The following is a 14,450-nucleotide window of genomic DNA, read 5'->3' on the forward strand; positions in this document are numbered from 1 at the left end:
TATAAAAAGCTTGGTCCCTAGGTCAATTCAGACTACAAAACCTGAATGAGAAATTCTTATGCTAAAATGTGCTGACAGTACTAAGCCCATGTTGAGCAACATTATTTTTAAAAAGTATATGAATACTTTTTAATGTTCTAATTTTTATTATTTTAGGGGTATTATTAAGAGTACAATTCACTACATCTCACAGCATCCCTTTAAGAGGACAAGGGAAGAAAGAAGTTCCCTCAGCTTTGTACCACAAGAAGCTGAACAATCAATTTATTTTAATATTTTAAAAGTTATAAAGCTAATAATTTATTTCTTTGGCTGCCAGGAATCTCAGGATCAAATTTGGTAATGACATAGATTTTCATACCCTTGATTTCATTTTGTTTTTCAATTGAGATTTTACTTTTACTCAGATTTCCTCATGTATTGTTTTTCCAGGAGGACAGTACTCATTTTGGTACCTGATCTTATTTATTTCAGGATCACATGGGTGAATAAATGTATTAAGAAAAGACAGTGGGTTCGTAAGCCCTCAACAGGACAGGAAATAAACCTCAGGTCTCTTCATAACTTGTCAGAGGAACTTAATACATGCTGCCATTTTGATCCCAAATGGCCTCCTTTTCAAGAGGCCCAAAAACGAATCTATTTTTTTTTTGTCACATAACTTACATTGCATTTGTGAGATGGAGATTTTTAAAAGGGACAGACAAACACAATGACTACCTGGAGGACGGAAGCACCACTATGGAGAAACTGAAGACCACTTTCAGCAGAGTCAATTCCACCAGTAGCCAAAATGGGAAATCCAGGCAGAGCACGAGCAATGGAGGTCACAGCTCTCAAAGCAATAGGTCTGATTGCTGTCCCTACACAAAATCAGAATAATCAATGGTTAGCACACTGACCACTTGAGTATACTGTCTTATATTACTTCTATTACTATGATGTGATGACAGCGTCACTGGACAAATTTCAAATTACTTTATCTCTGTTTAAGATGTATATACATATGTAGTGTATAAATGTTATGTTTTAAAGCATGTTAATTTGTTAATGGATGTTTATTTATTTTAAGGACTTTGATACCAATATTGAATTTAGACATGTTATACAAGTAGGTATAGCAAACACAGAATTCTCTGTGCACACATATTACATGCATATTACAATTGGATATACAGTAATGTGTAAAAGATTGCATAGAATATTTGAGCATCAGTGGCTCACGCCTGTAATCCTAGCACTTTGGGAGGCCGAGGTGGGTGGATCACCTGAGGTCAGGAGTTTGAGACTAGCCTGGCCAACATGGTGAAATCCCATGGCTACTAAAAATACAAAAATAAACATTAACCAGGCGTGGTGGCAGGCTCCTGTAATCCCAGCTACTTGGGAGGCTGAGGCAGGAAAACTGCTTGAATCCACGAGGCGGAGGTTGCAGTGAGCCGAGATCACACCATTGCACTCCAGCCTGGGTGACAGAGTGAGACTCTGTCTCAAAAACAAACAAACAAACAAAAAACAAGGAACAGCAGATTTTGAAAAGAAAAACAATCCCATATAGTACATCAGTAGACATACAGCTATGTTATGTTTCTTTAGAGTACAAAGCAGATGTTGCGAACATAGACTCTGTAAAAAAAGGCAAGGTGCTGATGAACTTACAGATTCCATGTTGCTTTTTATATGTACTTCCCACAATTTGAAAAAAAATAGGGAGTCTAATCCAATTTTTCACATATTAGAAAGTTTTAATCAAGTTAAAGAGAATTTACTAGAATCCAGTAATTAGAGTGTATGAATTTAATTTTTTAATATTTAATTAGCCAGACATTACCAGTATATTATTCCCTAATAGTAATAAAAATTGTATGGATAGAAAGAATACTTTGGGGCTATTTTAAAAATGAGTATATTGTACTAAAGCTACTTTGAATTCTCAAATGTTAAACATCCCAGAGTACATTAATGCTTTCATAATAAAGGAATATAATTTGATATTCCTGGTGTTCCCTTATAAGTCAGGGGTCCTTTAAGCATTTTCTGAACTAAAGGCAGTTCAACTTATGCAAGAATTTGACACTGCCTTAAACCAGGGCTTCACAAACAACATAAACAAATAACTGGTTCAGCCTCACGTGGTGAGTTCTTTGTCATCACCTCCACCACCACTAGTCACCAGCAATATCAATATGTATTTACTGGAGTGCTTACTCTGAGGTAGCACACACAGCCTTCCTTTAAAAAATGGCCAGAACTTAAAATTAAATTAAATTAAAAAATAAAATAAAATAATTAAATAAGAAAAGAAACAAAAAGTTAAAGGGCTTTCAATTTGAAAAGGCTAGATAGCATATGATTCCAACTATATGACATTCTGGAAAAGGAAAAACTGTGGAGACAGTGAAAATATCAGTGGTAGTAAGGAGCGAACGGGAGGGATAAATAGGCAGAGCAAAGAGGATTTTTAGGACAGTGAAAATACTATATATACTATAATGGTGGATGCATGTTGTTATACATTTACACACACACACACAAAACACACTTAGAGAATGTATCTGTTACACTCATAGAATGCCCAACACCAAGTGTGAAACCTATTGTAAAGTTCGGACTTTGGGTGGTTAGGCTATAGGTGTCAATGCACGTTCATGGATTACAACAAATGTATCACTCTAGTGGGGAATGTTGATAATGAGGGAGGTCATGCATGTGTTGGAGCAGTGGATATATTGAGTATCTCTGTATCTTCCTCTCAATTTTGCTGTGAATCTAAACTGCTCTAAAAAATAAAGTCTAAAACAGAGGCTGGGAGTGGTGGCTCACGCCTATAATCCTAGCACTTTGGGAGGCCGAGGCAGAGGGATCACCTGAGGTCAGAAGTTTGAGACCAGCCTGGCCAACAGTTTGAGACCAGCCTGGCCAACATGGTAAAACCCCGTGTCTACAAACAAATACAAAAATTATCTGGACTTGGTGGCGGGCGCCTGTAATCCCAGCTACCCAGGAGGCTGAGGCAGGAGAATTGCTGGAACCCAGGAGGTGGAGGCTGCAGTGAGCCGAGATTGCGCCATTGCCCTCCAGCCTGGGCAACAAGAGCAAGATTCTGTCTCAAAAAAAAAAAAAAAAAAAAAAAAAAAAAAATCGGTGGCTTTCTTTTTATCCTGTTCATATCTGTTTCAGATAAAATTGAACGTTTGCATGACTACTGCTTTTGTACTCAACACAAAAATGTTTGTGGAAATGTCTACTTGTGGCTCCCACACCTCAAACATCTTCCTCTACATATTACTATAGCATTCCTTAGTTAGGAATATTCAATGCTGACACTTCAAAATTCATAATAGACATTTTGGATACAAAGTATTAAGTTGGGCAAATTAGAAACCGGACATTAAGATTCTACTTCTATATTATTTATCAGTGATTCCTCACAGTTTTTATGTTTTAACCATAAAAAGGCTAATAGTGGACAGAATTTATAGTGAGAATACAAAAACACACATATATATACACATATCTTCAGTTATACTAAAAGAAATCTACATAACAAAAGTTAAAGGAAAGCATTTTTTAAGGAAAGCTGTAACAAACTTTTTGATAGACACACAGCTATCTCTGCATAATATAACTGGCATAGCCAATACATACCAACCCAATGGCTTCTTTACATACACACTACTTTGAAGTAATAAAGAAATATTGGTTTTTTTCCTCCCTTATTTAGTTGACCCAAGAGAGTAAATTTGAGCTAAGTAGATAAATAATTTATTTCTACCTCCACTGTTAGAAGACTATCATTAACAGTAAGGGGTAAAATTTCAAAGTGGTATACAGGGATTTGGCCACATATTCTATTGATATTAATGGACATAAAAAGGCAACACAGCTTTGAAAAATTAACCAGTGACACTTAAAGGGCAACATTATTACACAGGTGTTAAAAAAATCAGCAAATTCTTATTGGCATTTGAAGATGTTCAATTAGGTCAATAAGACATTTTCCAATTTATGCTTTTCTTCCTTTCTAACGCTTTTATAATGTACCTAATGAACAGAAAATCTTTTCAAAAAATAAGAGTATTTTTTCAAGTTAAGAGTAACTATGTTCTCTGAGGAAATGAGATCCAAAAAATGAAGAAATGATCTCTCTGTTGCTGGACTACAGTAAATTCAGTTTTTATTTCCATTATAAACCCAGTTTGATTTTTTATAACTCAACTGATTTAATACAAAATATAATCTACCTGTTCTCAGCATTTTTATGGGGAATAGTTCTTAAGAATGACTTCATCCACTAAGAACGGTTTCTAGAAGGAAAATGAAGGTATATAAAAAGATCTTTCTAAATTGCTATGTAGAATTTATTTTTAGTTTTAAAATGACAGAAATGAAGTAATAATAGGTTCAAGATAAAAATAAAACTGTTGGTTTAAAGAAAATACATATATCAATGCCATACAAAATTGTACATATGCCAATTAAAATCATAAAGACTTCCTGAATTACAATTATCGAGATAAAGGTCTTTTAAAATTTTGTCACTGCTACAGTGATTAATGATTTTAGACCAAAGACTAGGGAGGAAGAAGCCAGTGTGAGAAGTTCAAAGAATGTGTATGCGGGCTCTATCTTTAAGGAAACAACAAGGTTTAAATCAAGAAATTGAAATCCTATACACTTAATTGAACTAACAGGTAACATGCAATTTAAATTAAGCCCTCATCTACATGGGGTGGCCAGATGAACCTAATGGGGAATTCAGTTACATCAAGCCATTCTGCTTCAACTGTGTGGAATCCTCCAATAAAAATCAAGCCATTCTGAGTTCCCACGTTTTGAAACAAGCTGCAGGTTCGAACAAACAAACGAAAAATGAACTGGACTTATGAGTTGCAACATTGCTACCAAGAACTTTGCTTTGCATTATGTGGCTCTTGTGGTGGACTAGACTGAACTGTAACTTTTGGTCAATAATCATTCTAGGCCCTCCATGTAGTCATAATTTAAAATACAAATCAGTGTGTTGAATTCATAGATTGTCTTAGATAAACTACACAGAACATTCTTGAATTGATTCATGTTTCAGAAAAACATTTTAGTAAGCCAGAGATTTTGAATTAAGTTAATCAATCTGATTTTGATGAAAAGTATTTTTCTTAAGAAAATGAACTCTCATTTGTCAGATATCATTTTAAATACAATTTCAGAAATGCTATCATTGGCTATAATATTATATATTGATATATGTGTATTAATGTATTATGACAATCAGGTTCCTTACTCAGTCTTCATTTATCCATTCATCTGTCTATCCACAAAATATTTTTTAAGCACCTATGGCTTTTTTTTTCCTGGTTCATCAGTTTGTGTCCTAACTATATATCTACGCTTGACTCACAAAACACCAGGTCTTATCATTGTAGTAGGTTATTTCAAGTTAATAATTTGAATCCAGTTATTCATTCTCTACCAGTATTCCATTAGAAACAATTCACATTTGTTAGAACATTATACATTTTATAAATACTATTAATATGAATTCTATCAAGAAGGCAATTTGAGGATGAACTAGTTACCAACATCAGAGAGACAACTGGGCCAACTGTTGAGGTTCAAATCTTAGTTCCATTTATAAGCTGTGTGACTTTGTGAAAATTTTTAAATCCCACCGAATCTCAATTTTGTCATCTATAAAATAATAAAAATTGTAATAACGTCTTCATAGAGCTGTTTTGAAGAATAAATTACATAATATATATAAAAGGCGAGGACATAATAAAAATTGTAGAAGTGTTTGCTGTTATAATTTGTACTGCCCTCAAGGACAATTGATTTCAGAGTGAGCATTTATGTAGTTTACTTTGACATTGCCTTCTATGTTCTTGTGTGTTTAGTGATGCAATTAAAACCAATTTTTAAATTGGAGACAAAAGCATGATGCCTATGATGACAGAACTTTATCCTCTGAAACCTTAAGAGGACCATACATGTCCCCTCCTTTTTCTCTTTTCCTAACAGCTGTCATTTAGCAGTGTCATAATGTTGATGAAGATTACTTTGACCCCAAAGGAAAAAAAGCCTCAAAAGGCTGACATCAATATATTTAAGATTTTTTTTTTTTGAGAAGCAAAATGTCCATGGATTTTAATTACAATATCTGAACTCAAGTTTATTGGTGAAAAGGAGGCAGAGATGTACTTCGCATGACTAAATCCTTGAAGAAAAAAGGAATTTTTAATGAGCAAGAGAGTGTGGAACATATGCTAAATAACTGGAATTTTGAATAATTGAGTTTAATTCTGTTTGTCTTTCTCCCCCTAATCATTTGACTCCTCTAGGACAGCGACTGTTACACAATTAATTGTTAGAACTAAGTCCACAATAAACTCCCTGATAATAGCTCTAGCTGGCAATAAAACAGAAATTGGGTTATAATACTCATTCGTGCTCACTGTGTATGCAAAAAGAAAATGTAGTTTTAATTTGCTTACATTAATTAAAATATAATGAATTAAGTGGATAACAAATTCATTAGAAATTGAACCTTGACTGTCTAATTGTTAACAGTTTTAACACCATCCAGAAGAAAAAAAATTAGTAAATCAAGAATTTCAAGGATTTAGGAGGTGAGAGATTGATTTTTATAACCTACATATAAATGAACCACCAACAAATTTATGCTTTACTAAAATTAAGTGTACAATGTTAATGAAGTTAATATACTAATAAATACATGGGACACACCTATTTAAAAATAACATCTTTACACATGGATTAGGGTCCTCTGAGAATATTTGCATAATTCAATCAGAAACTGAAGTACTAAAAGGATCTAGGGTTATATGTAGAGATGTGTAATTTAAAGAGAAGAAATGGAAAAAATAAAGTTGATTATTTGATGTTATTTTAGTTTTTTCAGAAAAGCTAAAAATTTCTTCTGAAAATGTTTTAATTTTAGTTGAATTTTTTATGTTTTCTCCAAGTCTTCCTATCTTCATAGCTATGTTTTTCTGCTTCATAATGCATTCAATATGTTCCTAGTGGATTCATATTAAATAACTCAGTACCTAGCATGTGTCAGGCATTTATTTTTACCAAGAGAATTAATAACATTCACCAAAGAGGGCCATTCTCCTTTCTGAAAGTGTCAGCTACTGTTACTGGAATGAGTAGGATCACTCATTCATAGAGTGATTTCCACGTGCAGACACTGAGGCAGGGGCTTCATGTACACTGTGTACTTTAACCCTTGTAACTCTGAAGCTAGGTGCTGTCCTCTCTATTTTGTACATAAAGGAAGAGAAGCTCAAGCTGAATAAATAACTTATCCAGTGTCACGTAGTTTAAAAAGGATGTAATACATTAAAAATAAAGTCTCTGCGACATGAAAGTTCCCATTTTCAGTTATTATTGAGAAGTGACAATGCAGCAATTACCAAAAGAACCATCTCTGGATTATTTTTGCCTAAGAAAACTAGTATCAGTACAGACTGATGCTATGAGAACACAGAGGAAGTCCAACCAATTAGGTGTAAGTCTCAAACCATTTGCTTTATACAATTGTAGCTTTGAGCAAGCTCCTCAACTTCCTAAAACATTGGTTTTCCCTAATTAAAAAACAAGGACATTAATACTAATAATATTCCAGGGAGTTTGGATGTATTAGATGATACAACTCATGGGAAAGACTTGGCACAGTGCCTAGCTTATAATGTGTATAAGCTAATATTAGTGTCAAAGCCAGAGAAAATTGATCAGAAAAATAAACATTCAGCTATAACACATATAAGGATAAACACTTAATTTTTAAGGGTTGTTAATATTCATTCCTAGATATAACATTTGGGGTTCCTTTTGTAACCCATATATTATTTCATTGGCTTCAAAATTATGAATATTCATAGCTTGAGTCTATGGTAGTAAATGTGTGTATCTGTGTGAATAAATCTTTATTAGATTTTTAAGTGTAATTTGCAACGTGTGTGTGCGTGTGTATATATATATATATATATATATATATATATATATATATATATATATCTTCTAAGTCTTTTTTGAAGAATCTGTTCCATTAGTGCTTAGACACAAAGTTACATATACAACAATGTTCCTGGAAGTATTACTTTCTATAGAAAAACCGTAGAAAACAATCTAAAGGATCATGAGTAGTTACTCTATTAAATAAATTATAGTTCACCAAGATATGATATTCCAGAAAACCTTTAAAATTGACACGCAAATAGCTCTAATTTATAATGTTAAGAGTTAATCACAAGTAGCAGAGCAATATATATGGTATGCTCCCATTGTTGGCAAAAAAGTATGTGATTACATTTAGTATGTGTGCATGTAAATGCATATAATGTTGAATTTCATACTGTTCACAGGTATCATCTCTGGGAAAGGGGGTGAGTCCTGCAGTAAAGGGATTGAAGACCTTTCAAGTTTATATATATATACTTTTTATTGTTGGATTCTTTTTGATAAAATGGTGTTATAATTTACTTCTGTAGTAAAAATATCTATTTTTATAATGTTCCTAAAATTCACCTTACGAGAATAAGCATCATCAGTATATATGATGTGACATTTTTATATATGAGTGATACATACAGTGATTCTATCCTCTGTACATTACAAAGAACATGTTTGGTTCTGTGTCCAATATTTTAGATAAAAGATCTACAAACACAACAGAGTGAATAGGATGATCTCTCTTGATCTGTCTTTCTCACACACATATCATATATATCTATATAGTGATTAAAAGAAATCCTATAAATGGTCATCAAATATTTGAAGGATAATCATGAAAAAAAGGGCTTATCCTATGTAGCAAATTGGAACGAACAATTCAGCATACACGATTGGTTTTATTATTCTTATTTTTATAATTAATTTATTGTAAATTCAGCAATGAAAGCAGCTACAATGGAACTTCCCTATTCCTTGAATCTTGATGGCTACTTGACAGCAAGATGCAACAGAAAGACTTCTCTGTACTACAGGAAATATTGGATTAGTTTTTCTCTTCCAATTCAAAATCTGGGGATACTATAACTTATTCTTGGTAGTTTAAGAGCAATTTTATATGCTCTATAGTTTTCCAACAGATACCAGTGATTAACTTAGAAAAGAAGCAAGTATGAGTTAACTTTTAAGATTAAATATGTTAAATATAAATGCTCCTCTTTTGAGTGCTTTCTAATTGACAGATAGTTTCCTATTTATTTTTGCATACATTGTGCTGGTCACATTACTATGAAATAGATATTTCTGTCTCTATTTTTATAGATGTGTAAACTGAGATTCAGCAGGGATAAATGCCACATCCTCAAGATCACTCTGTTAGAAAGTATGGGTCCAGTATTTGAATCCAGGCCTACCTGACTCCCAACACCATGCTCTTAACCACAATGCTATGCTGCTTCCTGATTTTAAGTGTCTGGATATAAATTAAGCTTTAGAAAGAAGAGTTAATAATAATAATTGTTATAATTAATAAAGATATATTATCCAGGTATGATAAAACCATAAAAATCAACATTATAGAAAAATAGACATTATATTAATTGTTGGATAAAAATTAAATTAGAAGTAGAATAGCTAGTAATTGTATAACTAGAGTAACCATATAGCCCAGTTTGCCCAAGAGAGTCCCAGTTTATTATACCTGTATTTATTTGTAATTACATAATGTAACAATAGCTATCTTCCTTTGGTCTAAAAGTATCCCAGTTCAGATGATAAATTATAAAATCATACTAGCTATAACTAAAGATAATTATGTCCAAGAATAATAGGACAAAGACAATTACAGAAGCAAAGTGAAATTTGTTTTAGAACCAAAACCAAATTTATGAGGAGCTTAGAAACTCACTATACTGTCCAAGACTCAAAAGATGGCATGAAGAGCTAAATGTCTTTAAATTTGTCACTAGAGAGAAAAATATATGGCATTTACTAGGCATAATTAGTCTATATGTATGTTCTTTCTATTTTCAACCTGTAGGTGGCCACCACAAGCTACACTTATTAAACAACTCATTAGTAGCATTTTCAATACTGTCATCTTCAGATAATTAGCAATTTATTTAAATAACCAATTTCTGTAGAAATAATTGCCATGAAATGCCCTGAACCTACTTTTTATAAACTATAATAAAAGTGTTAAGATAATCCCTGACATTTGCAAATGCCATTAGTTCACCTTTCCTTTTGATAGTGCTATGGCATTATGTTTAAACAATTACCCGACAACACAGCAGTTTAATGAAACAGTACAGTGAGCACATTCTTCAATATGGCCAGAGAGGACATTCAGATTTAGAAAGAAATCCAGTGCGCAGAGAGGTTTACCCAGAGGAAAAACACAGCTAAAAGAAAAAGAATTACTGAATTAAGGACATTATTGCTATTTCCAAGTTGGTTTAGTTTCCATGGTAGATGCCGTATCATATGTACTCTCTTTGGAAACAAGAAAGGAGAGTTTTACAAGTTGATTTATGTGATAGGCTGGTGTGAACTATAATCATATATATCTACGAATATGTATAATACCTTCATTGTATTATTTGCTCTAAAACCTTGATGCAGGAACAAGTAGTAAATTTTTCTTACTATCAACCTTAAATGTACTTTTACTTTAAAAATGGTGTGCACTTTCAAAGTAGAGTTATTGAGGAAACGCACAAATGGTTTTACATCGCAGCTAGTATTTATCATTTAAAATAGACCAGAGTTCTAACTCAGTTTCTTCCTTGCTATTCAGTTCCTTATACTACTAAGATCCATTGATGTGGGATTATACAGTGTGTCTTGGTTGCGAGTGGTAAAACTATTTGAAGCCTTTATAATTTTTAAGCTGGTGTCCACTTCATATGAAAAAATAAAATTAGAATTCAAAGCCAGTGGCAATATTATTTTTATGGTTAGACTGAAATAACTTGAGAACCTATTAAGTACCAGTTGCTCTGCTAAATTATTCACTCGTTATTTATATCCTCACGACATCATTACAAGTCACATATACATTATCTCCATTTTACAGACATGGAAATTCAGGCTCAAGGAATTAAATAGTATGTGCATGTAAGAAAGGCAGGGCCGTGTGGTTAGATAATGCATTACAACAATAAGACAATTAGTCTGCAATATCACCATAAAATTCACTGCCGGGTTTGAATGTGAGGACTTTTCTTTATTTCCAGATTAACACATGCCTCAATCTCTCCAAATAAGAGCTTCTGGCAATGCTTTTTGCCTACAATTTTAAAGGTTTACCTATAAGTATAAATAGAAGAACTATTTAAAAAAGACATATTTCCCCAGCCAAGAAATTATTCTCACCTATGACAGACTTAGTGGACTTGAAGTAATATTTCTCATGTGATTTTGCTTAAGGATGTCCAGAGCAAATGTTACACAGCATAAAAATCTCACCATTCTATGTGTTTTCAAAAATGATTATTTGAGTAGGAGAAGGAGGAAGATTATAATGACAATGATAATGCCGATGACCGGAGTTTCATTTTACTCTTGGGAGAATCCAGGATAACAAGTGGGCATTATTCTGAGAACATACAGAAAAATAAAAAAGAGGTTCCACATCCATTAGGATCCTATTACTTCTTCCTTTGGAAAATCACAATTTCTTTTCTCTCTGAAATCCTGTGCTCTGTTTACTCTGTGGGTGGTTCTATGGCCAGGGTGTCCATGGCAGCACTTGCTGTACTGTAAAACCATTCCTTTCACTCTCAGCAACACATTCTCTTTCACTTTACAAAGAATTACATGTGTTAATCTCTATGCTCTGTGATAAGGCTGTGTCCCTCAGAGTCTACTGAAACACAGGCTGTACAGCAGTTGATGGCGTTTTGTTCTCTTCTTTGGCCTGTACAACTCTCAAAGATGTGGTGTGGACAAGGACATCTCTACCTGGGCCCTTATCTGAACCCTCTGAATCAATGCTCACTCTAAAACTGACCAGGCACTTTGAAAAAGAGAGATCCTACTGTTTAGTTGCTCTATCAATTAGTTGACAATAACATTTCTTCCTAAATTTCAATAGGGTAAAAAATGAAAAATCATTTTCAGTCAAAATTATTTCTTGTACCCAGCACCATGGCTGTTGCTCAAAGGCAGCAGAAGAGATGTCTCTTCTCAGCAAGCTTATAAGGCTGGGTCAATGAGATAAAAAACATGGACAACCCATGTTCACATGCCCAATTTTGTGGGTCAGACAACAGACACTGCTGAAACTTAGAAGACAAGGAGAGCCAGGAAATCTGAGGTGGTCTAGGAAGGCTTTGAGGAAGATGCAGGACTTACTTCAGTTGGGCTCTTGAAAGATAAGTGGGTAGGTCTGGGGCTAAAAATTAGGATATTTCAAACTGTGGCAGAGTTTGGGAACAAGGTGAGAAAAATTTCAGATATAGTAATGAACAAATCATATTTATAAAACACGTTAACAGCAAAACTAAAGTAGCCTCTCAGGTTGGGAAATGGTATACAGTGCATTACATAGTGTAGGGATGTTGCCTCGTAGGCAGGAAAACAGCCTACCCCCAGCTCTCGCAGCTACCAATATCAATTTCTATATGGCATTTTACTTTTTAAAATGCATTAAAAAATATTGACCTAGTATAAGAATAAACAGGTTTAAATTTAAACAAAATATCAAGTAAGGGAAGTTCAAAGCTATTTATTGTTAATAAAAATAATATTCCTATTTTAATAGCAATTGTTAATTATTAATAAATTAATAAATATTGCTATTTACTGCCAATAAAAATATTTCTCAGGGGACACTAAAGAGAATCTGTACTCTTTATACATGTCCCTGTCTGCAGCCTTTCTAGAGATCATAAAGTTCTTTCTAGTCTGATGAAAAGTAATATTAGGATTTTTATCAAACAGAAGGGATAAGAACTACAACTAGAATAATATGATCCACTTTTTCATAATATAGAGAGCTTATATAATGGAAGAGAACAAGTGTTCCACTCCATTCAACCATTCAGTAACTATTGCCAGTAATGTGAATTATCATTTTCACAGATGCATCTATACTTTTAACAAACATCATAAATAGTGCAGGAATCTGTAGCATGTATTAAAAAGAGCATATGATCAAAAAACTAGGAAAGGAAAAAGAACTTAAGACTACATTATTTCAGACAAGATCTCCTAAAGTATTACCTAAAGGAACTGTAATACTACCCTAGAGCATGAGGATATGGAGCAATCTGGCAACCTCTCTTAACATACCACAAGTCAGCTACTTGCCAAAAATGGGAAGCTAGTTTCAAGCTGTGCATATCTGTGTGGCCCCTGAGACCCCTGATGTTTCAGGGCTTTGGACTACAAGCTGAGGATGTGCCTCAACCAAATGGATGATAAAAACTAGTAGTGATTTGTATAGCCACTGAGTAGGCATGAATTTCTAATGTATCTAATACAGAACCAAATAGAATAAAATAGAATAATCTATGTAAAGCAGGCAGCACAGTGACAAGCACATAGTAAATGCTTTAAAAATGCCATCACTACAGTTTCTAAAAATATAAAAGGATAATAATAGAACAATATGAGCAATGTCATACAATAAACTCAACAGTTGAAGTGAAATGCACAAATTCCATGCAAAACACAACTAACCAAAATTGAGACAACAAAAAACAGAAAGTCAAAATTAAAAATAGATCCATAACTATTGCACAAGTTGAATTCATAATAAAAAACATTTTCACAAAGCAAACTGCAAGCCCAGATGGCTTCGCTGGTAAATTCTATTAAACTAAAGGAAGGAATAATACCGATCTTACACAAACTCTTGTAGAAGATAGAGGAAGAATGAGCCAATCTCAACTCATTTTATAAAGCCAGTATAATCTTGATATTGAAACCTGACAAATAAACTAAAGGAAAATAAAATTATAGACCAATATCCATAGACTCAAATATCTGTATTAAATAAATTCAGCAATATATAAAAGGTGTAAAGCATCATGATCAAATACAGTTTATCCCAGGAATATGAAGGTAATTTGATATGGTTTGGCTGTGTCCCCACCCAAATCTCATCTTGAATTGTTAACTCCCACACTTCCCACGTGTTGTGGGAGGAACCCAGTGGGAGGTGATTGGATTATGGGGGCGGGTCTTTCCTGCGCTGTTCTTGTGATAGTGAATGAGATCTGATGGTTTTAAAAACAGGAGTTGCCTTGCACAAGCTCTCTTTTTGCCTGCTGCCATCCATGTAAGATGTGATTGCTCCTCCTTGCCTTCCACCATGATTGCAAGGCCTCCCCAGCCACATGGAACTGTGAGTCCAATTAAACCTCTTTCTTTGGAAATTGCCCAGTCTGATGTATGTCTTTATTAGCAGTGTGAAAATGGACTAATACATGGTTTAACATTTGAAAATCAATTAATGTAATTCACCAATC

General features: G+C 33.6%; 1 protein-coding gene and 1 long non-coding RNA gene across 7 annotated transcripts in view; one reads left to right on the forward strand and one right to left on the reverse strand.

The window, feature by feature from the left end:
• The window catches only part of DPYD (dihydropyrimidine dehydrogenase), an 843,317-nt gene that overhangs the window by 156,389 nt on the left and 672,478 nt on the right, over nt 1-14,450 (reverse strand). For all 6 annotated transcript variants that reach the window (XM_047448077.1, XM_017000507.2, XM_005270562.3 and 3 more), the window contains one exon: nt 721-863. In XM_047448077.1, coding sequence (XP_047304033.1) covers nt 721-863 — 143 coding nt within the window. The remainder of the gene's footprint in view (nt 1-720; nt 864-14,450) is intronic.
• DPYD-AS1 (DPYD antisense RNA 1) overlaps nt 1-14,450 on the forward strand; it is a 227,033-nt gene that overhangs the window by 138,209 nt on the left and 74,374 nt on the right. The gene's annotated exons all lie outside the window — the stretch shown is intronic.

Source organism: Homo sapiens, chromosome 1, assembly GCF_000001405.40.
Source record: "Homo sapiens chromosome 1, GRCh38.p14 Primary Assembly".
Lineage (NCBI taxonomy): Eukaryota > Metazoa > Chordata > Mammalia > Primates > Hominidae > Homo > Homo sapiens.